This window comes from Homo sapiens, chromosome X (genome assembly GCF_000001405.40).
Source record: "Homo sapiens chromosome X, GRCh38.p14 Primary Assembly".
In the NCBI taxonomy this organism is placed as follows: Eukaryota; Metazoa; Chordata; class Mammalia; order Primates; family Hominidae; genus Homo; species Homo sapiens.
Genome location: NC_000023.11, coordinates 111876047 through 111904031, shown reverse-complemented (window position 1 = coordinate 111904031; position 27985 = coordinate 111876047). Strand labels below are relative to the sequence as shown.

The 27985-nt window shown below is 39.3% G+C and overlaps 2 protein-coding genes across 6 annotated transcripts in view; one reads left to right on the top strand and one right to left on the bottom strand.

Annotated features, from left to right (window-relative positions):
- The window catches only part of TRPC5 (transient receptor potential cation channel subfamily C member 5), a 314766-nt gene that overhangs the window by 178745 nt on the left and 108036 nt on the right, over nucleotides 1–27985 (top strand). The gene's annotated exons all lie outside the window — the stretch shown is intronic.
- TRPC5OS (TRPC5 opposite strand) lies at nucleotides 42–27981 on the bottom strand. 3 transcript variants are annotated; one of them, NM_001195576.1, is made up of 4 exons: nucleotides 27843–27981; nucleotides 7936–8081; nucleotides 7537–7625; nucleotides 42–2492 (listed from the first exon to the last, which is right to left on the bottom strand). In NM_001195576.1, exon 4 carries the CDS (start codon nucleotides 2180–2182, stop codon nucleotides 1847–1849), a length of 336 nt encoding a protein of 111 aa, NP_001182505.1. In that variant the 5' UTR covers nucleotides 2183–2492; nucleotides 7537–7625; nucleotides 7936–8081; nucleotides 27843–27981; the 3' UTR covers nucleotides 42–1846. The 3 variants fall into 3 exon arrangements, with proteins under 3 accessions (NP_001182505.1, NP_001182507.1, NP_001182506.1); NM_001195578.2 differs by having other exon boundaries at nucleotides 27759–27851; NM_001195577.2 differs by lacking the exon at nucleotides 27843–27981 and adding an exon at nucleotides 22016–22135.

Below are 27985 nucleotides of genomic sequence, written 5' to 3'. Positions count from 1 at the left end.
GCCTCCAAATTCACCACCAGGTAATTTAAGATGACCACACGTTTTTTTGATTTGTGAATGAAAGTTTATTAGTTAAAATCTCTTGAAAGAAAACAATAAAATGGTTTAGATCAATAGCTAATACAGATTGTAAACAATCATAAGATAATAACTAGCAGTAATCATCACACATAAGAATTTATATAGGCACAACTCCCCACATATTTTAACCCAAACAAATAGGGATGAAAACTTGTACTACCTAATCTAATGCCATCTACCAGCCTATCTTCCTTGATTTTCACACCTTTAAGCTTGTCTCAGAATGATGAGCCCCTCTCTTTTCTGCCATGCTATATAATAATTGGCTTTAACACTGGTCTTAAGAAGATACAGAAAAGGGCTAATTTGCATAAAGGATCAGCCACTCACTCCATTCTCCTGGAGGAGATGCAGGATTTCAATCAGCGATATCCAGTCAGTGGACTAAACTAGTTAATAATTCTCCATCTAATTGAGCTTTCAGATACATGACTTATGTCAATCGCCTACCAGCTGTTTATAGCAACATCTTAGGGTTGGCTAATTTGCAGAAGACAAAAACAGGGCTTTGTTCATAAACCTGTTTAGAAACTAACTCCATATCATGGCTTTCCATCATAAACCGTCGCATAACTGTTGACAATTTATTAATTTGCTTCTCTCTCCTGAAAACACCGTCCCCACTAGTTCTTGTTCCTAAATATTTTCTTATTTCCTAAATATTTCTTTTCACTATTAACTCTAATTCTGCTCCATAGAGCAAACATACTTAATACAACAATCCATTCCTTGGAGCGGGGGTTATATCTTAACAATCCTTAAGCACATAAAATTACAGAATCAAAGCAAACACTGGAATATATCTTATCTAGTTCCTGAGGTACCATTACAGTACAATCTGTTCAGGTGACCCAGGAAAACAAGGGTCCAGCCAGCTCCACATATTATGGGGTTGTAGCATCTTCCTGCTTTGATGCCTAAGGACTATATCTAGTCCATAGATATTTAGTCCAATATGGTGAGTGTTTGTCTTTCCATTGGTGAATAGTCCTTGTAGGGCTTTGCTTAGCCCTTCTATTACTTCTCTCTTTGATTATTTGGTATAGTGTGCCTTTTCCATTTGGGGAATAATAGTGCAAAGTAGCTACAATGTGGTCAGAATTTGCAAGAACAGTCCTGCACTGGAACTCTTGGTCCCAGCTTTTTCAGTTTTCTCCTTGGCAACAGTCATTTGAAAACCTTTCTTCACTTTTATTATCTGGTAGATAGTACTCTTTTAAAATTACCTCCCTTAGTCTGCTATAGCATTTTTTGTCGGACACATGCTTTCTTAAAGGATAAGTAAGGAGTTATATCCTTTCAAATAAAAGTATCCCAACACTGTCTTGTTAATGTGAATGTATTCATTTACTGTAATGCTACCCTGGGGGATATTCCCCTTTTCATTTGCATTCATTGGAGAGCAGTGAAATTAGTCCCAAGATGTGATAGAGTTCGTCAGTTCTCCACTCCATAATTAGGCAAGGAATTTCTTTTCTTTACTATTGTTTGCTCCCATCATCAGAAATTCTAGCATGAGAGTAAGTACAGGTAAAGGGAGACCTACATGGCAAAAGACAGAACTTTCTGAATAACAACAAAGATGAAAAAAGACCAGCTTTTGCTAGAAGTAAATCAAATCTCACTTGTTATATGGGTTATTAGTAATGAAAATGTGCAGAACTATGAGAAAACACATATTGCTAATATACAGAAAATAAGAATATATTAAAACAGAGAAATGATCAGTTTTCACATCCCTGGGGACGGGGGCAGAAATTGGGTCTTAGTCACCTGTTAAGTCATCATTTATACCAGAGACTGTATCTTCATATAAGTTATCCATGTCTAACATAGCCTGATCTATATCAAATATTAGGTCTTCATCCTCTCTTGGTGTAAGTATTGAGTCTAAGTCTGAGAGATCAGGGAGATCAGGTAGCGAAGGCTCCTCGGGAAGAGGTGCATCTGCTTCAGTCTCTTCTGCTCTACCATTTTCTTCTACATAAGGAACTTCTTGTACTTGTAGAATGAATTGTAAAAGCTCATCAGCTATTCTTATTAACTGGGCTACACAAGCAACAAGTCCATCAATGAGTACATGAATTAACACAGAATCCATGCTGCAGTGCTCTTCTAAATAGATAAAATATCACTAAAAGCTCTAGCAAATGGACTCTTGGTGACAATGGATAGTATAAGGGGCTAACAATGGTTCTGTGGTTGGTTTAGGCCAGAAATTAGGATGTTGATATGATTATGATGGTGATCAAGTAAAGAATGAGAACAGTAGAACAATATAACTTTTTGATGATGTTGGTAAACCGCGCACAGAATTTATGTATGGTACTCTTGTTTGTACTAATGGTGAACTGCTGTTATAATGACCATCAGGCGGACTGTCACAGCCAAGAGAAAACAGCAAAGCAGACCTAATAATAAAAAAGAGAGATATAAAGATTAGTATCTTTGAGCCTTTATCCATCCTACAGGCTATGGCTACTGGTTACCCCTATCAAGAATTGCTGTTAAGGTTGAAACGATATGTCTAACTATAGCCCCTCCTTTGTTGCTGGCCTTGTGAGGCTCTACTACTTCTCTTTCCTTTGAAAACCTCATGGTCTTTATCTCTTGTTAAGAGATTTGGGAGAAAAGTGAGTATAGGTAGTTTGTCTGTCTTTCTTGAGCATCTCTTTTGAGGAAGGATACACTCACGCAGGGTCTGTCAATTATTAGCACCTTTGCCTCATTGCCATTTATATCTGGGTGCTGCTGAATTCTTTCTGTGTTTCTAGGAATCCATTCATTAAAGTTTCCAGATGCCCTGCAGCCTGGGGAGTTTATGGTAAATGAAAGTCCTATATTCTCCATATTTTGCCAAACTTTGGAGAATTTCAGTTATAAAACTAGTTCCTTGATAATTTCCTATTACTGCCCCACTTCCATATCTAGCAGCTAGTTCTTCCAACTTTATCTAAAGCCATGGTTGTACTATTTTCATCTGCGTGTCTAGTGGGCTTTGCAAACCCACTTTCTGAGTAAGTATATATTTGTGTAAGGCAATATTATTTGTTTGAAAATCTAGATATTGGCTCAATATAATCTACCTGCTACATTTGTCTGGTTTACCACTCCCCACCACACTTAAAATGAATCTGCTGAGGATGCAAGAAGTTTTTAATATTTTGATATCACTCATATTTCTTACTCACTTGTTTATTTGATTCACAGGTTTTCTAACTCTTTCTTCTCTGCTAACCTGGCACATACATGCCCATATGCCCTGAGGTTTCACAAGCCCATCCTACAACCTTAAATTGAACTGAAAAGGGAGCTGAGTTGAAACTTAAAGTCCCCGAAGCTTCAGGGTCTACATTAGTTTTGGGGGCCTAGATTATCTCCCCTCTCATTCCAAATAGATTATTCTGCTTTTCTGTTCTAATGAGCTGACACATGTCTTTATAAGAATTTCTAAATTCTTTCACCAATTTATTTTCATATCTCCCTTCACCAGATTGTTTTTCCTGCAATAGTCCAGGTCTATATGGCTGATCAGTGTAGCTATATACCTTTGACCAGTTTTTTTCTTGGGTATATCTACATGTTAAATTTCTGGCTATTAATTCTGTAAATTGGGCTAACTTCCTTTCTCCAGTCCCAGTCAGGCTTTTCCTAGTTGAAAGTCTTAGGAAGTAGTCATCTATATAACTCCTTTAGGATTCTACCAAGTCTATTATTGCCCAGTTTTCAGCAGTTCTGACCAGAGTGGGGCCCAGCAAGCCACAGGCTTCACTTTCAGCTGACTATAATCCTTGAATATTTATTGGAGTACAGAAAATCATCAGCCAGATGGTCTGTGATTTGCACATACAGCTTGCTGGTCTTCACAGGGCCTTTTTTGACCCACTCAGTTGTATAGTATCTCCACTTAGCCTAAGTCCTATCAGATCACTACATTTTTTTTTTGTCCAAAATCCTACCAGTACACATGGGGTTTGTCCTGATGATAAGGGTCACAACGATAATGACCAGAAGGCACGATTTTGTTGGAGGCAATTTTCCATATGGAATATAGGAGAACGGGTACTAGAGGCAGAGCAGTTTGTTTTATTAATTCAAAGGATCTGTTTGTTTGATTTAAGAGAAAAACGTCTCATGTAAGAAAATATGGAGAGAAATCAAGGAAAGGAATTTGGCATTTATTTAGAACATGCATCAGCTCATCAGAAGGAAAACACAGAAGAAAGATGTGTGTTAAATATTGTAAGAGAGCACCATCACATTTTTCAAAGGAAGCAATAACTACTAGATGGTATATACAGCCCAAAGGCACAAGAAGATGACAGGAACACACTCACACAAAACCTATTTAACTTCTGACTTCCCATTCACCCAGTTTTTTTTCTCAGCTTCTCTATCTTCCTCTGGGACTCTTTTATTCCTCCTCTTGATCAATATGCTTCCATTTATTCACTTATGTGTTTCATTCTATTTCACACCCTCTCTATCTCCATCTACTCTTAACCTTTTCCATCATCTTTTCTTGTCTCTCTCTCCTAAAACTGGAAAAAAATTGGAATAAATTATATTTGATTCATCAAATTTTTATTGTATTTATTGAGTTGTACATTACACAACCTAAACATAAAAAGCAGAGAGGTAGAACATTCCATATTTTGCTCTCTTATAAGAGAAATGTAGTTACTTATTACTTTATGTGGCCCATGAGTTTTTTTGTGGGGCGGGGGACTCAGTCACTTTTGATGGGAAAAAAAATTAGTGACCTTGCCTTAACTTTCTTGACCCTTGTATTAGCTTTTTTTTTATTTTTTATTCTCAATCTCAGAATTTAGCAACTAGTGGGTGAGGAGAGGGCAAGGAGAAACTTGAAGAAACTGCTAAGTATTCCAATAATAAGAAAGAGTAAGAGTGTGGCATCAGCTTATGCCAGTTATGGTAATTTCCAAAGCAACCAACTCTGGACACCTTAACTAGCCTAAAGGGGTCTTTTGGATAGTTTATGCCTAGCCTTAACTCACTTTAAGGGACTTTTTATTAGCTATATCCTCTGCCTGGGATCCCTTTCTCCTTGGTGGGGGAGGAGTGGGGAATGATTTCGTGTCATTCTGATATCTACTTTAATATTATCTCCTCAGATTTCTTACCCCTCAACCTGGGTAAAGCCCCTAATCATTCCTTTCCCATTACACACAAATTTCATTTTTGCATGATGGTATCTATAACTAGCTCACATTTTCTTGCTTAATTATTTGTTTTTCTGTCTCTCACCTTACCCCCACATACATATAGACTAAAATGTAATTGTCATGAGACTAAGAAATCTGTCTGATTTGTTTTCTGCTATATCCCCAAAGAACAGAAGAGTGCTTGCCAGCATAGTATATAATCAGTAAGTGTCTTTGAAAAAAAGAAATAATGGAAGGAGGGAGGGAGGAACAACTTTCAGCTCATTCATTCAGTAAATATTATCAAGCTTCAACCATGCATGTGGGAAACAGGGGATACAAAAATGGACAAACTCATCAAATCATACAGTTAATAAAATGAACAGGCAACCCAGAGACTGAGAGAAAATATTCACAAAATATATATCTGACAATGAACTTTCAACCAGAATATATAAAGTTCATTGTCAGATATATGTGTGTGTGTGCGCACACACGCGTGTGTGTCTATATATATATATATATATATATATAAGAACCCCTACAACTCAATAATAAAAAGACAAACAACCCAACTTAAAAATGGCCAAAAGATCTGAACAGACAATTCAAATGAAGAGCTAATAAGCACATGAAAACATCCTCAACATTATTAGTAATCAAAGAAATGCAAATTGACATCACACTAAGATACCGCAATATACTCAGTAGATTGGCTAAAATTAAAGACTGACAACATCAAATATTGACAAAGATGTAGAGGAACCAGAATTCTCACACACATTTATACTACTGGTAGGAGCATAAAATCATATTATGTTTTTGGAAAAACATCTATCAGTTTCCTATAAAACTAATCATGCACCTATCTATATCCCAGCAATTCTACTCATAGGTATTTACCCAAATTAAGTGAAAGTTCACAAAGTGACTTTTACAAGAATAGCTATAGAAGTTGTATGCATAATCACCAAAAAGTAGAAAGAGCTCAGGTAACTATCAAGAAGATTATGAATAAGCAAACTGTGGTATATTCACACAATGTGATACTAATAAGCAATAAAAAGAAAGGCACTACTGAGAGGGACAACAACATGGAGGAATAATCAACATTATACTTAATGAAAGAAGCCAGACACAAAAGATTATATGCTGTATGATTCCATCCATATACAATTTTAGAAAATGCAAAATAATCTATGTAGAAAGAAATCAGAATAGTGCTTGCATTTATGGGAGTAGGAACTGATTGGGAAGGGGCATAAAGGAACTTTCTAGAGTGATGGTAATGATCATGTTTAGGTACGGTTGTGGGTTACACAGGAGAATGCGTGTGTCAAAACTCATTGAATGGTACTCTAAAGATTTGTACATTTCACTATATGTAAATTTTACTCCCCTCAAAAAAGTAACCAAGCACAATCCCCAGCCTCTGAAAGCATATGTCAGATGCAATGATGTACCCATAAAAATTTTTCTAATAAATTGTCACATTAATGGGAGACCTATTGTGTGTCAAGGACTGTAAAACCCACTTTTCTTATATTACAGGTTGAGTATCCCTTATCCAAAATGCTTGGTACCAGAAGTGTTTTGGATTTCAGATTTTGAAGTATTTAAATATACATAATGAGATATCTTAGGAATGGGACCCAAGTCTAAACATGAAATTCATTTATGTTTCATAAACACCTTATACACATAGCCTGAATGTAATTTTATAGAATATGTTTAATAATGTTGTGCACTAAACAAAGTTTGTGTACGCTAAACCATCAGAAAGCAAAGGTGTCATGTTGGTGCTCAAAACGTTTTGGATTTTGAAGCATTTAGTATTTCAAATGTTGAGATTAGAGATACTCAACCTGTAGTACATTTAATCCTCACAATAAAATCAGCCTATGAAGTTATAGGTGGAAAAACTGAGGATTAGAGAGATTCAGTAATTTGCCCATGATCACATAAGTAAAGATGCAGAGCTGGATGTCAGCCCAGGTCGGACTTCTAAAGTCCTGTGCTAGAGGGCACAAATTTAGGTGACTACAGGAGCAAATTTGCCTTATTCAGGGCCAGAGCTGACATCTCATTCTCCTAAGCAGGAATAGAACTGAGAATGTTAATGTCATTTGCTATCCCTAGAAACTGGCTGAATTCCAAGTTGAATGTGACTTAGGCAGATCAGTCCCCTAGGAAATCCCCAATATCTGTGACTGGGAGGTTCAGGGATATATCCATTACCTATCTTTCCACTGACCTACTGAATTGGCCCAAATGTTCATAAACTACTTACCTGTGATAGAGCTGAGAGGGATGCGGATATCAAGGCTCGGCCTATTAAACAATTTGCAGACTTTGTTTCCAAACAGGATGTGAACGCTCCTGCAACAACAAAAAAAACCACACCCGCCCCCACCAAAAAAAAAAAAGATAAATTGCGAAATCGATAGGTTTAAGGATAAGCAAGGACGAGATTAAAGAGCCCTTTCTAAGTGAACTGACAATCAGGGGCTTTTTTCCTTTCCTGTGGCATTTGCTAATTCTGGGCACTGTTGAAGATGAAGCTTGGCTGTAAGGCAGAAGGACTCTCCTGAGGAAAGGAGAAATGAGCATAACTTTGGGCCATTGGGAGACACTAAAATAATGGGCTGGAAACTTGAGAAGCCCAAAATGCAGGGCTAGTTTTTCTTACCTGAAGTCACCTGAGTTCTGGGCTGGTGTCTGGGTAGGAAAAGCACAGGAAAATCTCCTGCAGTCTCCTGGTACTTCAGAGACAAATTCTCCCTCTAGAGGGGAACTGCCCCAAACAGGCCACCGGTCTCCACCTTAAAAGGTTACCTAGATTTTGAAGTTAGAGGGACAAAGGGAAAACTAATGAGTCAAAAAGATCAAAACCACTCCCAAAGGGCAATTTGGACAAAGTGATTCTAAAATGCATAAGAATAAATAAAGGCTAGTAATAGTGAAACATCTTCAGGAAGAACAAATTGAAGGACATATGCTACCAGATATCAAGGCTAGTTACAGAGCTAGAGAAATTAAGACAGCGTAGTACTGGCTCAAGGACAGACAAATAAATCAATGGAACCATGACCCTTACCTCATACCAGATACCAAAATAATACTAATAATGATTTGAAATGAATCATAGGCCTAAAAATGAAAGTCAAAACAACAAAGCTTCTAGATCACACCACCAGAGAAACTCTTCATGACCTTAGGTAGGCAAATATTTCCCAGAGGACAAAAAACATTAACCATGAAAGAAAAGATTAATTAATTATACCTTAAGAGGATAAAAAGCCAACCACAGACTGGGATAAAATATTCACAATATATATCTAACAAAGGACTTCTATCCACTACATTCATACATTTTTTAAACTACAAATCAATACGAAAAACATAATCAATCTAATTTTTAAAAAATATAAAAGAATTGAACTGGCACTTCATAGAGGAGAATATCCGAATGGCTCACAAGCATATAAATAGGTGTTCATCACTATTGCTCATCAGGGAAGTGCAAATTAAAACCACAATGAGATATGCAAAACCCACCAGAAGAGCTAAAATGAAAAAGACTGACAATACCAAGCACTGAAAACATGGAACAACTGGAACTCTCATAGATTGCTGGTGAAATTGTTAACTGGTAAAACTACCTTGGAAAACTATTTGGCAGTATCTACTAAAACCAATCATACCTCTATCACATGACCCTGGAATGCTACTCCTAAGTATATAACCAAAGAGCGTACAAATATCCACCAAGATACAGGCACAAGAATGTTGAAATCAACCAGATGCATAAAATTAGCTACCATATCACTACATTTACATGAAATCCAAGAACAGGCACACAAATCTACGGGAACAAAGTGGTTACCTCTGGGTAGGGGGTTATTGACTGGGAAGGGATATGAGGAAGCCTTCTGGGGTGCTGGTAATGTTCTATATCTTGATATAATCACATATGTTAAAAAATAAAAGCATTGATATGCACCCTTAAAATTTGCGCAATTTACTATATGCATGCCATACCTCAAAAAAAATAGTTTTATTTTTTAAATTTTAGGCCTACATCCTATAAAAACTAATGAGGACAGCAAGACAGTGATAAGAGTCTTACCAGGATTCAGCAAGCCAGTCATCAAAGTTAATGAAAATGGAATGAAATATGAATGTGCAGGGCAGTGTCCCTTTGGCCTGTGTGGCTCTCTACTTCATGGCAGTGCTAAGGCAAGAGACCCTGATAGCTAGGCCGAGTTTTTAATTGATACAAGATGAGATAACCTATATCTTACAAGTAGCTCATAAAGACCCCTGAGGCAGAGGCCATACTATCCATCTGGTAACTGAGATCTTTGACCCCATTGAATTTTTATTAACCTCTCTTGGGACTTTTTTTGTCTGCACAACTAATCAAAAGTCACCATTTTTCTTTTAGCTGAAAGTCCTACCTGGCAATTTTGCAATGCTCCTAACTGGAAAACTGGCAATAAGTGTCTAACAGTAGGATGGAAAAGGAGCAAAGAAATCCAAATCCTCTGGGTCTATCTTTATAGTTGATAAGCTTCTTTGTATTAGGTAAGGTAAATTAGTTCATATCCAAGGAGAACAGAGGCAGTTATGTGGGAAAGATTAAAATGCACCTTTGGTGAGGGTGGGTGCCAGATTCCTATTTACAAACAGGAAAATTTTTTTCCATAGTGTTCCCTTCTCCGGTGCTGCAGTACCATTTGGATACATGCATTCAATATAGCTTGTTTTAAAAAACACCTACAGACATATAACTTCTCGTTACCCTCTTCACCCCTTGAGGAAACATCAAGAGAACTTTATCCACAAAGGGCAAATGTTCACAATTTTGACATAACAGAAGCATCTCTATGGGAATACAATGAATAAAAAAGAGTATTTACACTTTAAACTCTTTTTGAAAAAGCTACAAACTTTTGCCTTTAAAAAAATAACTGTGTGCAATACAGCATTTGCCTGTTATAGGATCTGACATTTAAAAATCCCCATGAAGCATCTTTAATTTATCAAGAAAGAAAGGAAAGAATTGTGCAGCTGAGGAGCTAAACATGGCCCCTTCTTGAAAATATATGAAAAATTCAAAACTAAAACTAAAAAAAGGGGGAGTAGGAAATGTCCTTATGGTCAATTTAAACCAAATTCTACTGAATTTCTTTCCTCCTCCAAATTTGTTCATTGCTGCAGAGAAAAATCACAGACTGGCTTACCCTTCAGAAAAACAACTTAGTAGAAAAATACAACTACTTTTGAAAATACATCTTGGTTATTTTCCTAGACAGATACAGTGTTTCCTCAAAACACTGTTCAAACATGAGAATAGACACTCAATCTTAACCTGGTAGGACCCTACACAGGCTTGTCCTTGAGGCTTGGCTGCTATGAGAGGCTCCCAGGCCCTTAGAGAGTCTGGAAAGAGATGTAATACTTCTAGAAAGATTTTTTTGGTTTTCAAATATTACAGCGCAGATGACAGGGTCTACAATAAGGGAAATAAAAACAGAACTTGGAGGTAACAGGAAAAGGGGTTCTATTTCCAAGTCTTTCTTCAGCTTTCTGAGAGGGAAAAAAAGTTGTGGTTGTTTGTTTGTATATGCTTTTTGGGAGAGATATAAAATGATACTAGTGGTTATAAGAATAGGATCTGGTATCCGAAAAAAAAAAAAAAAACCCTATATTTGAATTTCAACTTCACCACTTACTAACTAGAAGGTTGCTAAGCTACTCTGTGTCAGTTTCCTCATCTGTAAGATGAAGATAATGACAGTTATGAGAATTACATTAGTTAGTTAGCACAACGAATTTAAAATGGTGTCTGGTATATAATTAGCACCTAATAAATGCTAGCTGATATAATTGCACTGGAGAAATTCCAGGATCTAGGAAATAGTATGTGGTACATCATGACTAGTGAATAGCTGCCCATGGAAGACAGGAGAAGAGATGGCTGCAGGCATTACAAAAATTGGAAGGACATGCCAGAGACACAATTCATCTCATAGTTAGAACCAATATTAGATGATGACTTTGAGCTTGGGTAAAAATGTGAGGGAACAGGACTGTCTTGAAGCTGTAGTTCACAAATGACCCTTTCAGGAGACCTAAGAACAATCAAAGACTGTAGGGAATCCTTGAGGATTAGCAAATCCTCCTAGTCTAACTTCCTCTGAAGCACTTCCTTATTCTGGCTTTGAGCTCTGGTGGGGCTGCAGCTCACATGCACCACTCCTGGCCTGGCGAAAGCTAACTATATTGTGGGCTACACATTGGCTATGCCTCCAACACACTGCCAGTTGCACAGAGAATGCCCTCCACCTCGTATTGTGACAATGATTCTTTCAAAGCATTAAATCTTTAGAAACATCCACTTGGAAAGTAATTGGCAAGGTCATTGAGACAAGATAATAAAGGTCCATTATCCTATATCTAGCATGACTTCACCCAAACCAACCCAAAGTTTCAAGTATTCCTTTGTGAATCATTTGGATAAGAAGGAGAGCATTATGCAAACATCTTCGTATACTTTTTACTTCATACCATCCTAGCATGGATTTAGTCCCTAACTTCAGGAATATATCTCAGAAATTTGATAAGAGAAAGACTAAGCACCAGTTGTGGCCTCCTCTATGTTTCTGTGGCAAATGCCAGCTTGCCAAGAAAGAACAGGTTAGTTTATTTTACCACATGGAAAGATGATCACCGATTACAGATTGCTTCCCTCTGCCTGCAAATGTGCTTAATGCCTGTCCACCAAAGGAAAGGCCCTTCTGTTTTTAATGATTTCAAAATAACATTCCATAGCATCCCTTGGTAACTCATTCAAATATTTTATAGTTTCCTTCTTCTGGTAATTATATCCTCAAATATGTTCACATACATTAACTTATAATAATCCTGTGTAGCGGCCAAGCGCGGTGGCTCACTCCTGTAATCCCAGTACCTTGGGAGGCCAAGGCAGGCAGATCACGAGATCAGGAGTTCAAGACGAGCCTGGCCAACATAGTGAAATCCCGTCTCTACAAAACTACAAAACTACAAAAAATTAGCTGGGCGTTGTGGTGGGTGCCTGTAATCTCAGCTACTCTGGAGGCTGAGGCAGGAGAATCGCTTGAACCCGGGAGGCGGAGGTTGCAGTGAGCTGAGATCGCACCATTGCACTCCAGCCTGGGCGACAGTGTGAGACTCCATCTCAAAAATAAAAAAATAAAATAAACAAAATAATCCTGTGTAGCAAGGATTATACCTATTTTACAATTGAGGATATGAAGAACCAAAGAGGGTAACTGACTCGTCAAGATTGCACAGCTGGTTAGTAGCAGAGCAAGAATAAGAACCTGATTTCTTGGCTCCTATTAAAAAGTCAAAAAATAACAGATGCTAGTGAGGTTGCAGAGAAAAAGAAATGCTTATATATTGTTAGTATGAGTGTAAATCAGTTCAGCCATTGTGGAAGACAGTGTGGCAATTCCTCAAAGACCTAAAGACAGAAATACCATTTGACCCAGGCATCCCATTACTAGGTATATACCCAAAGGAATATAAATCCTTCTATCATAAAGATACATGCACACATTATGTTCATTGCAGCACTATTCACAATAGCAAAGACATGGAATCAACCTAAATGCCCATCAATGGTAGATTGGATAAAGAAAATGTGGTACACATACACCATGGAGTACTATGCAGCCATAAAAAACAAGATCATATCCTTTGCAGGGACATGGATTGAGCTGGAGGTCATTATCCTTAGCAAACTAACAGGAACAGAAAACTGAATACCTCACGTTCTTACTTATATGTGGGAGCTAAATGGTGAAAACACATGGACACATAAAGGAGAACAACACACACTGGGGCCTATCAGAGGGTCGAGGGTGGGAGGAGGGAAAGGATCAGGAGAAACAACTAATGGGTACTAGGCTTAATACCTAAGTGATAAAATAATCTGTAAAACAAACCCACCATGACATGGGTTTACCTATGTAACAAACCTGCACTTGTACCCTTGAACTTAAAATAAAAGTTAAAATTTTTTATTTAATTTTAAAAAGAACCTGATTCTTCGGATTCTTGGCCTTCTTCAGACTCCTGGTCTGACTAATGATGCTCTGGGAACCTCCACATCACTAGCAGAATAAGAACCAGTGTTAAGATATCAGCAAGAACACAATGTTTGTCTCTTGGTGTACAGGAGGATTGGTTCCAGGACCTTCCACAGATACTAAAACCCGTGGATGTTTAAGTCCCTGATATGAAATGGTTTAGTATTTGCATATAACCTATGCACATCCTCCCTCATATACCTTAAAGCCTGGGTATCCAGTTTTTTGGCTTCCCAGGGCCACACTGGAAGAATTGTCTTGGGCCACAAATAAAATACACTAACACTAATGACAGCTGATGAGCTAAAGAAAACTGTGAAAAAAATCTAATAACATTTTAAGAAAGTTTATGAATTTGTGTTGGGCCGTATTCAAAGCTGTCCTGGGCCACAGGTTGGACAAGCTTGCTTTAAACCATCCCTGGATAACTTATGATACCTTACACAATGTAAATACTATGTAAATAGTTTGTTTTACAATATTGGTTTAGGGAATAATGACAAGAATAAAAAGTCTGTACATGTTCAGTACAGATGCAATATTTTAAAAATATTTTTGATCCACAGTTGGTTGACTCCATGGATGCAGAACCCACAATACAGAGGGCTGACTGTATAGCCATGATAGTTTGCTTACCAAGTGGATCAAAGGCCAAAAGTCCCCTTGAGGACAACCATTTCATTATTGTCATCCCTACATACTATCGTTCCCAGAGTGTTCCTACAGTAGAAAGCCCTACTAAAAAGAAAAGATACAAAAAGCCTAGCTGAACATTAAAATCACCTTAAGATCATATGCTGATCCATGAAAATAAAAAATAAGACAAGAGTATGTGGTTTGCTGCTTTCTAACTTCTCTATTTTTACCTCTGAGATAGATACACTCAGAATAAATTGAAGAAAATGAGGCAGAAAAAAATTTCCTAATATCCTAAAAAAAATGCTTTACCCTTGGCCATGAACTTCCTTTCCCCTTGAGGATTTCATACCTCTACCTCCCAAAGTTTCTAAGGGAGCCAAGGGTTAGCATTTTAAACATGGGTAAAGAGTGAATCCCATTGCTTTATATGCTTGACACTCAGAAAAGCACATCAGGGTTACAACACAGTCCTCTGGCATGAGCCCTCCCAATACTAAACCAGCATGCTGTTCAAGTGAAAAGATAAATGGAGTTTTCCTTATAGGATTTCTTACAAGATTTCTTTTTTAATATTAGCTAGAGCCAGGGGAATCTGAAGGCAGGCTCACTCAATGGGAACAAAATTTCTCTCTCATCTCTTATGACTGATATTACCAAGGTTAAATACATATGTCCTGAAACACACTTTTAATTATGGCCACTCCACCTTACTACCCTTGCTAAAGTCACCAATGACTTCTGCATTGCTAAATCCAATTATCAGCTCTCCGTCTCATCTTACTTGTCCTATAAGCAGCCTTTAACATGGCCAATCACTCCCCAAGTCCTCTTCTTCTTCATCTATAGTCACACTCTTGGTGACCTCATATGGGCTGCAAATAACACCTATAGGCAGATGACTCCCAAATTTATTTAGCCAGCTTAGGCCTTTCTCCAAAATCTCATACTTGTTTATCTACTTTCATTACATTGATTCCTGTAAAATTCAACACAGTACATTCAAAACTAAATCCTTGGTACTCTCTCCAAAACCTACTCCCTTACAGCCTCCCATCTCAGTAGATGGTAATTCTATCCTTCTAACTACTCAGGCCAAAAAATCCACAGTCAATCCGCCAGGATATCCTGTTGGCTCTGCCACTAAAACATATCCACAATCTGATCACTTGTCATTGTGAGACACCATCACACTATCATCTACATCTCACCTTGATTATTTTGACAGCCTCCTGACAGGAGTCTCTTTGCCTTGCCTCACTACAGTCTCTTTTCTTTTCTTTTCTTTCTTTTTTTTTTTTTTTTTTTTTTTTTTGAGATAGAGTCTCGCTCTGTCACCCAGGCTAGAGTACAGTGGCATGATCTCAGCTCACCACAACCTCCACCTCCCACGTTCAAGCCATTCTCCTGCCTCAGCCTCCCAAGTAGCTGGGATTACAGGCACCTGCCACCATGCCTGGCTAATTTTTTTTTTCTTTTCTTTCTTTTTTTTTTTTTTGGTAGAGACGGGGTTTCACCATGTTGGCCAGGCTGGTCTCGAACTCCTGACCTCGTGATCCGCCCGCCTCGGCCTCCCAAAGTTCTGGGATTACAGGCATGAGCCACCGCGCCCAGCTACAGTCTCTTTTTCAACAGGACCGACAGTGATCCCTTTAAAATGGAAGTCAGATCATGTCACTCCTCCATTTAAAACCCTCTGATAACTGCATTTCCTTTAGCATAAAACCCAAATCCTTATAGTGGTTTATATGGCCCTGCATAATATAATCTGCAACTTCGTTTTCTATTTTTCTCTCTCCTGCTCTGTTCTAGCTGCTCTGGTCTGTCATTCCTCAAATTCACCAAGCACACTTCCTCTTTAGGTTCTTTATACTGGCTATTCTGCCTGGAATGGTCTTGACTCAAATATCAAAAGAGCTAAATCCCTCACCTTCTTCAATCTCTTTGCTTCTATCTTGCCTTCTCAATGAGTATTTCACTTACCACCTTTGTAAATTTTAACCTCCCCCTCCCAACTTGGCAGTCCTGAGTCTTCCTTATTCCGCTCTAACTTTTTAATTTTTCTTAGAAACGTATCACTTTCTACACATATTGTATAGCTTACTTATTTATTATGATGATCATTTATTTTCTGGTTTTCCTCTCTAGAATGTAAGCTCCATGAAGGCAGGGATCTCTGTTTTGTCTAAGTGCAAGAACAGTGTCTAGCACATAGAAGATATTCAGTAAATATTTGTTGACTAATAATTTGTAAGGACTAATAATTCCTTACATTTTTATAGCGTTTTATGTTTCTAGTGCTTTCACATGGTATCCCATTTAATCATCTTAATTACTATATGAGGTGGGTAGGGTAACACAGAATTTATCTCCATTTCACATTTAGGAAAATTAAAATCCAGAGTAGTAAAATGATCTACCCAAGAGCTATTCTACATAGCTGGAATGTGGTAAAACCAGAAACCTAGTTTTGTACCCTTTTTCTGTAGCCTCCAATATTATACTGCAAAGCCTGTAGTCCTTGAGGAAAGACCTTCCAGATTCTTTGTTAGGAAGGGGACATGCCCTGCTTGTGCCACTAACCCAGTGCCTTGAAGCTTAATGTGTTTCACCAGCAAATGCGAAGTCAATCAAAGACCTGAGCTTATGTGGGGAATCACCTTGTGAATATGAGAGAAAATGATTCCCAAATGGCACTCTCTCCAAGAAAGAAAGAAAGCAACATTTGAATATCCCATCTACTTAGTGGAATAAATTATTTGTTTCTTCCTAACTAGCTCTGCCTTCCTCTGGCATTACCCACTAAACCAAACAGTTCTCCAAAGCAATGTAATAGCATAAAGGGAGATGTGAGAGTCCAAAAAGGCATCTGCAACATAACATATATCCCAGTGGCCTCTTTCACTGTGCCACCATCTAAGCCACTAACTGCCCATGTTGAAAGCTTTGCCCCATTGCCACTGGCACATGCAAAGAGTGGAGACTGTCCCTTTAAATGTACCACCAAACAGGAAGCTGGTATTTACTTGGCAGGGGAAGAACAAGATACTTTCATGCTTGGCATACTGCTACCATTGGCATCTAACCCAGAAGCTGCTGCATTCTGCAGGGGTGGCAACTATTTTGTCCTCAGGATAACATAGTGGAAGATGCAGCTATATTTACATACAGGCTTTTTAATAGAGATGCCTGTCACCCCTGGTAAGCTCACAGGAGGCGACAGAAATGGCACAGTCAGAAAAAGGCAAGCCAAGTCCTCGGTACCTTCTGGCAATTGAATCCACAGTACCAGAGAGGGAGGCCTTGATCTCTTTCTTTGGCCTCCAGAATGTCATTATACCAGGGGTATATCCAGAAACCCTCTGAAGTATTACTGAATAGACCAGGTTTGTCTTCAGTGCCCTTGTCAGAACTGTCTTTTCCAAGATCACGCCAAATCGAGTGGTTGAGGCTTGACCCTACTAAGTCAACTCTGCTGCAAGGCTCAACAAATATCCCATAATGAAACAGCATGCAACAATTCAATAAATAAACCTCAGGCTGAAAAAAAAGAAGTGTCAATGCAAGCATAATCTACCAAACACTTAACAGATTTTAGATAATACATGGATGCAAACATCACTGAAACATGAAGAAACATACAACAACCTTGGCTACATGGGTATGTACTGAAGTATCTGACACTGAGGAAGTAGGCCGGATGGAAGAAAAAACATTATTTTATTTTATTGACAGAGTTTCACTCTTGTCGCCCAGGCTGGAGTGCAATGGCATGATCTTGGCTCACTGCAACCTCCACCTCCGGGGTTCAAGCAATTCTCCTGCCTCAGCCTCCTGAGTAGCTGGGATTACAGGCGCCCACCACCATGCCCAACTATTTTTTATATTTTTAGTAGAGACAGGGTGTCACCATGTTGGCCAGGCTTTTCTCGAACCCCTGACCTGAGGTGATCCACCCGTCTTGGCCTCCCAAAGTGCTGGGATTACAGGTGTGAGCCACCATGCCTGGCAGAAAAAAAACATTATTTTTAAGGGGAATATTGGCTTTGGAGGCAGAGAAACCTAGGTTCAAGTCTAAAAGTTTTCTTGCCTTAGTTCACTTAAGCTCAATATGACTCACTTTCCTGATCAGAAATAAGGATGATGACAATAAGCAAGTATTAATTTTGTGATGTAGACAATGTTTAATTATGGGGAGATGCCCTATTGATTTAGTTTGTAAAAAAGTGTGGCTTTTGAGTTTAAACATAGATTTAAACTGCACTTCTGATACTAATTGTATGGCATTGCAGAAGGTACTTATTCTCTCTAAACCTGAGTTTATTCATTTATATTTTGAGGATGATGTTGACACCTATCTCAAGTGGATGCCATAATAATCAAACAAGATAATGTTATGAATGTGTTTTATAAGCCATGAACTCCAAGACAAAGAAAAGTTTTCTTTTTTTAAAAAAAAAAAAAAACCCTTTGATTAGAGTGGCCAACCAATCTGATTTTCCAGGAATAAGGGGTTTTCCAAGACCCAGAGTTTTCAATGCTAAATATAGAAAATCTTAGGAAAACTAGGATGAGTTGGGCACTCTAGTCTTGACCAACCTTTAATTAGGCCAATGTCCTCACTAGACCTTAACTGGGATGACTAGGTCCTAACTAGATTTAGGCCCTGGCTCTGCCTTAACTAGACTCTTACTAGGACTTAACTAAGCTTAGTCCTTTCTAGACCTAACTGGGTTAAATAGGCCTTAAACAGGCCCAGGCCCTTGCTACACATTAAATTAGAAATGAATAGGCCTTCTCTAGACTTAGGTCCTGGCAATGCCTTATCTAGACTGATTAGATATTAACTAGGCATAGTCCCTGGCTAAGCTAACTGGGCTGTGGCTAGGACTTAACTAGGCATAAGCCTGGCTCCACCTTCACTGAGTTGACTAGGCTTTAACAAGGCTTAAGGCCTGCATTTGCCTTAACTAGACTCTGACTAAGCTTTAACTAGGCTTTGGCCCTGGATAGGCCTTAACTGGGCTGGCCAGATCTTAACTAGGATGACTAGGCCCTAAGTAGGCTCAAACTCTGGCTAGAACTTAACTAAAGTCTGACCACAGCTTTTCTAGGCTTAGACCTTGACTAGGCCTTAACTGGGTCCAGGTTATACCTTAACTAAACTCTATGTCTCCTCTAGACTTATGCCCTAGATAGGCCTTAACCATGCTTTGTCTAGGACTTAAGTAGGCTTATCCACTGGATAGGCTATAACTGGACTAATTAAGCCTTAACTAATATTGGCCCTTGCTAGTCTTTAACTGGGCTGACGAGGCCTTAATTGTGTTAACTAGCTCTTAACTAGTCTCAGGTCTTTGCTCTACTTTAACTAGACTCTGACTAGGCCTTATCTAAACTTAGGTTATGACTAGACCTTACCCAGGCTTAGTCCTTGGCTAGGCTTCAACTGGCTTCTGACTAAACCTTAACTGGGCTTTGGCCCTGGTTAGGCCTTAACTAGGATGGCTAGGTTTAAACTGGGCTCAGGCCATTGCTACACTTTAACTATATTTTGATGAGGCCTTAACCAAGATGGCTAGCCTTTAATTAGGCTTGGGCCCTGGGTATACCTTTAAAAGACTCTGTTTACGCCTTAATAAGCTAGGGCCTGGCACTACCTTAACTAGTTTCTGATTAAATACTTAAGTAGATTTAGGCCTAAACTGGGCTCTGACTAGGCCCCTAACTAGCTCTGACTAAATATAAACTAGGCTTAGGACATGAATAGTCCTTAAAAATACTCTGATAATACCTTAACCAAGTCAGTTAGCTTTTAATTAGGCTTACACTGTGGCTGTACCTTAATAAAACTCTAGCCAGGCCTTAAATAAATGTAAGCCCTGGCTATACCTTAACTAGTTTCTGCCTAATACTTAACTAGACTTAAGCCTTACCTAGGCTCTGACTTCACCTTAATTAGGCTTAAGCCCTGACTAGGCCTTAACTGGGCTCTAACAAAGTCTAATCTAGTGTTAGGTAATGGCTAGGCCATAACTGGGCTTTGACTCACACTTAACTAGGCTGAAGCCCTGCCTATACCTTGATTAGGCTTCATTACATCTTAACTAGGCTTAGGTCCTGGCCAAGTCTTAACTAAGTTCTGATTAGGACTAAACTATATTTATGACCTTGCTAGGACTTAAGTAGACTAGGACTACAACATAATTAGGCATAGACCCTGGCTAGGGCTTAACCTGGCTCTGACTAGACCTAAATTAGGCTTAGGCCCTGGCTAGGGCTGAACTGGCTTCTGACTAGACCTAACCTAAGTTTAGGCATTGGTTATGCTTTAACAATACACCGATGAGGTCTTAAGCAAGCTAGCTAGCTTTTAACTAGGCTTAGTCCTTGGCTATACTTTATCAAAATTCGGACAGGCTCTTAACTATGTTTAGGCCCTGGCTAGGCTTTAACTGGCTTAACTAGACCTGAATTAGGCTTAGGCTCTAGCTAGGTCTTAACTGGGCTAACTAGGCCTTAACTAGGCTAAGGCTTTGACTCAGTCTTAACTAAGTTCTGACTAGGACTAAACTATACTTATGATCTTGCTAGGACTTAAGTAGACTGGGACTGGAACTTAACTAGGTTTAGACTCTGGCTAGGGCTTAACTGGGCTGACTAGGCATTAACTAGGCATTGGCCCTGAATAGGTCCCAGTTGGGCTGACTAGAACTTAACTAGGCTCTGACTAGACCGAAATTAGGCTTAGGCCTTGCCTAGGGCTGAATTGGGTTATAACTGGACCAAAACTAGACTTGGGCAACAACTATGCTTTAACAATATCCTAATGAGGTATTAACCAAGCTAACTAGATTTAACTGTGCAATCTAGACCGGAAGTAGGCTTAGGCTGTGACTAGGTCTTTTTTTTTTTTTTTTTTTGAGACAGAGTCTTGCTCTGTTTCCCAGGCTGGAGTGCAATGGCATGATCTTGGCTCACTGCAACCTCCGCCTCCCAGGTTCAAGCGATTCTCCTGCCTCAGCCTCCTGAGTAGCTGGGATTACAGGAGCATGCCATCATGCCTGGCTAATTTTTTTATTTTTGGTAGAGACGGGGTTTCACCATGCTAGTCAGGCTGGTCTTGAACTCCTAACCTCAGGTGACTCTCCTGCCTTGGCCTCCCAAAGTGCTGGGATTACAGGCATGAGCCACAGCGCCCAGCCGGCTCTGACTAGGTCTTAACTGGGCCGACTAGGACTTAACTAGACTTAGACTCTGTCTCCACCTAACTGATATCTGAGTAGGCCTTAGGTGGGCTTAGCCCCTGGTGAGATTGTAACCAAGCTGCCTTGGCATTAATTGGGCTGAGCAAGCCTTAACTAGGCTTTGGTCTTGGCCAAGTTCATGGCTAGAGCTTAACTATGCTTAAGCCTCAGGTAAGCCTTATCTAAGCTGAGGTGCTGGCTAGGCCTTAACCAGACCTTGGCCTTGGCCTTGTCTTGATTAAGCTGTCATCAGACCTTGGCTAAATTGCAGCTACTCTTTCGTAAGGATCACCTCAATAATATACTACCTCTAGCCCTCAGCTCCTCCAGTTTGTATCTGCCATTACCTCAGTTATCCTGCAGTTTCAGGCCGTACTCTGGGTCATAAAGAAGTCAGAGACAAGACCCCTACCTTACCATACTGCAACAGGAAACAGACTGCTTGTAGGCTCTTTGCAGCCAGAGGTACTTACAGTATAAAACAGGAAGCAACCCCTGAATTGACACTCCCAAGAAACCAGGGGGATACTCTTTTATATAACACTCCACCCAGAATTATATTTTTATTTCAGCCAATGAGAATGGTCTGTAAAACTTCTTCCAGGACACTGACATTTTGTAATAAGTTTGTAACAAACTTAAAACATAACATAGCATTCCTGAGTACAGTACAGCAGCAGGTGACTTTACGGCTTTTGCCCATAATGTGCAATTGGCAGTTTAGAAGAGAGATCTTCTTACCTACCTTACCACACTGCAACAGGAAACAGACTGCTTGTAGGCTCTTTGCAGCCAGAAGTATTTATAGGATAAAACGGGAAGCAACCCCTGAATTGACACCCTCAAGAAACCAGGGAACACTCTTGTATGTAACACCCTACCCAGAAGTATATTTCTATCTCGGCCAATCAAAATGGTCTGTACAACTGCTTCCAGGACACCAGCATTTTGTAACAAGTTTGTAACAAACTTAGAACATAGCATTCCTCAGTAGGGGAGGAGACTCTACTGCTTTTGCCCTTAATGAGCAATTGGCAGTTTACTTACCTTAACCACACTGCGACAGGAAACAGACTGCTTATAGTCCCTTTGCAACCAGATGTATTTATAGTATAAAACAGCAAGCAAACCCTGAATTGACACCCCCAAGAAACCAGGGGATACTCATGTATGTAACACTCCACCTGGGAGTATATTTTTATTTCTGCCAATCAGAATGGTCTGTGCAACTTCTTCTAGGACACCGACATTTGGTAACAAATTTGTAACAAACTGAAAACATAGCGGGCCAGGCCCAGTGGCTCACGCTTGTAATCCCAACACTTTGGGAGGCCGAGGCAGGTGGATCATGAGATCAAGGGATTGAAACCATCCAGGCCAACATGGTGAAACCCCATCTCTACTAAAAATACAAGAAGTTAGCTGGGTGTGGTGGCGCGTGCCTGTAGTCCCAGCTACTCGGGAAGCTGAGGCAGGAGAATCACTTGAACCCGGGAGGTGGAGGTTACAGTGAGCAGAGATTGTGCCACTACACTCCAGCCTGGTGACAGGGTGAGATTCTGTCTCAAAAATAAAATAAAATAAAATAAAATAAAATAAAATAAAATAAAATAAACAAAAGAAAATCACAAAACAACAGCAACAACAAAAAAACATAGCATTCCTAAGTACAGTACAGGAGGTGAATCTACAGGTTTTGCCCACAATGTGCAATTGGCATTTTAGAAGAGAGATCACCAATGCACTAGAATTGCAGTAACGGGAGTGTAAGCTTCACCAAGCTGAACTTTGAGCATTTGTAGAACCTATGAACTCTCCACAGTTAGTTATCAGTTCCATTGTGAGGAAGTAGCCAGTCTGATATATGCTGGCTTGGCCTGCTATAAGATACTGAAATACTTGGTTAATGACCCAACAACAGGATGATAAATCCAGACCAGAGCATAGGTAGTCATTCTTGTCTATTAGCTTCATGGATTCCTAGTGATGAAAGACTGGTAATTGGTTCCAACCTTGGCTATATTATTTAGTTTGGGAGCATGTATTTGTATATACATACACCTCCTAGTAAAATGCATTTGATTCATTGCACATTAGGAGTTCACTTTGGCCCAACTAATCATTTTTGTCATCTGTACCAAGTTATAAGTTAAACTTACATAGGCCTGTACAGTCCTATTAACCTTTTCAAGTACACAGTGACTTAGGTATCAGTCCTGCATGGACTAACTGAAGTTTGTAGGTACTATTCAGAGCAAAGCAGGTAAGCAGCTCTGTTCACAGGACAGTGCCCAGACAGGGCCTGTGGCTGTGGGATGTAACCAGTCTTTACATTAAGCTATGTATAGCAGTATGTCAAAAGAACTGATCTGGGCACCAGAACTAGAAAGTTAACACATTCATTCATTCATCCCACAAATATTTATTAATCACCTACTGTGTGCCAGATATTATCCTGAGACTGGGAATATGATGGCAAGCACATATAGACACAACCCTTAACCTAATGGAGTTCTCATTCTACAAACAAAATCAGGAGAGGATCTGCACAGCCATGAGTTGAAGCCTAGATTAAAACAATCTGTATGCTACAGGGCAAGGACAGATGTGATAGGCAAAGCCTACAACGACAGAATAGCTGTAGGAAAATAGCCATGTGGTTAAAAAAAAAAAAGCAGCAACAAATGAATATAATCTTCATTTTAAAAATATGAAAACAGAGATTTTTCCTAACATCACCACCACCACTACCACGTCATTCTGAGAAAGTCATTTATATTTTTTGGTCTTCGGTTCTTCCTTCTATAAAGTGGAATCACTTACCCATTTGAGAAAAAAAAAAATGAAGAGGAACTTGACTAGATAAGTAAATCCTAAATCACACTAGCACAATGGATAAGAGCCACAGGCTTTAGAGTTGAACAGATGGGGGCTTGAATCTCAGCTCTTGTCACCTTGTAGCTATATGCCCCTGGCATGATTTAACCTGAATGAGCCTCATATTTCTTTCTCTGTAAAAAGAGGATAGATACTAATCATGCCTATCTCGGGCTGTCATGGGGACAACACCTGAGAAAAGATGGAAAATGCTTACTGCAATAAATTGCCATGCTCTGTTAAGAAACAGGAAGAATGAGCTATGCCTTGCACAACCTCGATTCTTTTTATTTGGATGCATCACTCTTTAGTGTCTTAAGAGTATTTAGCAGGTACTTGATAAAGATGTGCTGACTGGTTTATTGGACTTCACCATAGGGCAGTAAGAAGATTCAAGGGCAATAGCAAGGACCAAAGCCTGGAAAAGGTGAGAGATCAGGGATTTTACTTATTCTCACTCCTAGTTCAGCTTAACCCACATCCATTCATTCCCTGTGACCATAACAAATAAACATCTTCCTGGGACCACAGGCCCCATTGGGATGATACATAAAGTCTCAGGAAGACATTTCAAGTTCAACCTGAAGAACGAGAGTCAACGTCTCCTGAGTTCTCTGCTCTGAATGAGCACTGAAACCTTCTCTACCTTTTTTTTACAACCCTCTCTTTTTCTGATGTCTCCATTCTCTGGCCAGTCTCTGAGGAGGCTACCAGCAGAGTTACAATCTCATATTTGAAAGATGCTTTGAAAAGAATAAGTATTATTAACTATTAGTTGCACTGTATGAACAAATTCATAAATACTTCCCTTATTGTTGCAGAAACATTACACACCGCTGCTGTAACTAGACCTCTTTCTAGCTTAACTTTGATATTCCGGATCATAAGGGAAGTATGTTGGCATTGTTTCAGTACTTGCTGTTTAAGTGCAAGTATGGAGCCATTCACTCACTCCAGGGAGAAGCAAAGAAAAGAATGCCTTTAAGGGTCTCAAAATTGAAAACAAATAACCAAGAAGGTTACACATGTCTTTCTGTAGGCTGTGAACTGGGTAATAGTGTTTCTCACTCAAGGAAGAATTTGGATTGCCCCTGCTGAAGGACAAAGGGATAAACAGACTAGGCCCAGATCACCTAAAGCAGTTGTTCTCATGACTGATTTCCCTCTCCACCACCCCTCCACCCACCCATCTGCCCATCAGGAGCATTTGGCAATGTCTGGAGAGGCTTTTGGTTGTCACGATTGAGGGGAGGTGCCATTGTCAATTAGTGGGTAGAGGCTGGGGAAATACTAAACACCCTACAGTACACAGAACAGTCTCCAAGAATAAAGAATTATACAGCTCCCAAAGCCAATAGTGTTCAAGTTAAGAAAATCTGACCTGAAGAATCTTTCCATCCTAACAACCAGCAAATATTTCTGAAGGTCTTTCTTGTGGGCACTGTGGTTTACTAAATAATCCATAGTCTCTGCCCTAAGGAAGCTTAGAGTCTAACAGGGAGATCAGCCAATCACACTGAAGCAATCAGGAAATAATGCAGTATATCACTTATCACTTAGTTTTTTTTTTCTTTTTCTTTTTCTACAGTGTGGTCTAGCCTCTGGGTATTATAGGAGCATTTTTAAATTTTATTTTATTTTTAATTGACATAATTGTATTTATTTATGGGATACAATGTGATATTTTGATATATGCTTACATTATAGAAGGGGGAGAACAGCAGGCATATGAAGTTCAGGAAAACTTCCAAGAAGAGTTGGATCTTGAGCTGATGTTTGAAGGAGGCTACTACTCTTTCCCTTCTCCTCACTGCTGGCAGAAAGATGAATCTAAGCTTGCTGCCCATACTTCTTTACTTCCCACTCTCTATCAGTATCTTGTATTCTGATTTCAGGACTCCATAGAAAATTATTTTTCTTAATCACCAGAACCTATCATCTATCCTCAAATATTAATCTACATCAACCCTCATCTTTTAAAAATTTCGCTCTTTATTGACTTCTATGACATCATCATTGTGTTCTGGTCCACTTTTGACCTCTCGTGGCTCAGCCTCAGGTTTCTTTTTACAGCCAACCTACATAGGTAGGTGTGCCACCACCTCCAGCCTGCTGCCTTTTTCTCTCTCACCGTTTCCTCTTAATTATTTTATTCATTCATTTATGTCCCTTCTCATTCCACAAAGGATTTGCAGTAGTTACAATCTCATGCTATGCATTTTTCCTTAATTATTATACCAACTCCTATGGTTTTACCCATCATCTCTATATAGGCAACTCCCCAAGCTGTGCCTCTGACTCTGACTCTGATGTCCTTCCTACACACCACACTACCTGCCTGATCACCTGCTGAACACCATCCATACATACCTCAAATCCAACATATCCTAAACTTGAGGTTTACCCAGGACCTAGTTTTAGCACTGAAAGTTCCGTGTCCTCGGAATTCCCTCAACCCCAAGCAAACCAGAACACTAAGTCACCACAACTAAAATGAACTCAACAGTGTCTGTTCCAAACCCATTCTTCCTCATGAGCTCCTAATTCCTCTCCATCATTTTGTAGCAGAGATATCCTCCTTCTGCATAAACTTCAACTCCTCTTTGCCTTCCACCTACTCATGCAACTGATTGCTAGATATTGTCAATTTTATCTCCAAAATATCTTCTTTAACGTCACTTCCTTTCAACTTCCACTGCTCTAATTCAGGTCTTTATTACCTCTAACCTATACAATTACAGTAGACTCAATCAGTCCACCTGCCTCCAGCCATGCTATCACCCTACTCCCATCCCTTTTGCCAATTCATCTTCCAAACTGCAAAGATTGATCATTCTGAAACACAAATGTGATCATCCATAGATAGTATTTTTCTAATCAATATTGAAGTTTTACAGAATGAACTCCGAGAACAGCATTAAACTCAGGCTCCCAGGCATTTGAGCATGATGACTACACAATATGACACCTAAGAAATGTTGTTATGAATGACTAAAATACACGGAGTATTAATATGAGCTCTAAGTGAAAGGGAAAATCAAAACAAAACAAAAACCACCACCATACCCTTGAGAAGCCAGGAACTGAGTTTGTCGGTTCCAGTTTTGCATCTTTTCATTTCTTCAGAGAAGTATATGATAACCACAGTTAAGGAAAGTAAATATTGCCAGGGAATTCTGGGTGGTAGAGACTCATTAAAGCCTTGATATTCATATGAAACAGAATCATCTGGAAGTCATATTAAACAGAAACTAAACTTGAGAGAGAATTCACTGGTTCCCTCAGGGCATTAGGTCTTAACTGATCTGTGGCCCTACTCCCTAATTACCTCTGCTGCAAGAGCCATAGGCTTTCCATCTCAGACTGGCAAGGAAAAAGAGAATTTACATAAACGATGTTTATATCAGTGACAGGAAATATGTATCCCACTTGAATAAGGGGTACGGCGTGCCCAATATAGATTATGAAAAATGAAAAACTGCCAGGAGAAGAAGGCAAGTGCTTTCCCTAGAGGAGAGAGAGCTCATCCTTTCCTCTCTCAGGAAAACTTACCTATCCTCTGTCTTCTCTCATAGACTTGCAAGTGGTAAATTGTTTATGAAGCAACTCACCTTAGGAGTCAGGGGTTGACCTTCACAGAGATATTAGAAAAAGATGGCTACCAGAAACATCAGAGCTGTAATCCAAAGGCTTACCTCTCTAATGGTAGGAATTTTCATCACATGGTAGGTAACCTCCTCTTCCGTCTACATAATTAAGAGATAGCTCCCACCTCTTCAGAAACCTCTTCCAACTATGGTCCTGCAGTTTTTGTTTGCCACATTTGTCTTTTCTAGTT

What these genes read in the sequence shown, in the direction of transcription:
- TRPC5OS (NM_001195576.1), bottom strand. Translation starts at nt 2,182, where the DNA reads ATGGATTCTGTGTTAATTCATGTACTCATTGATGGACTTGTTGCTTGT.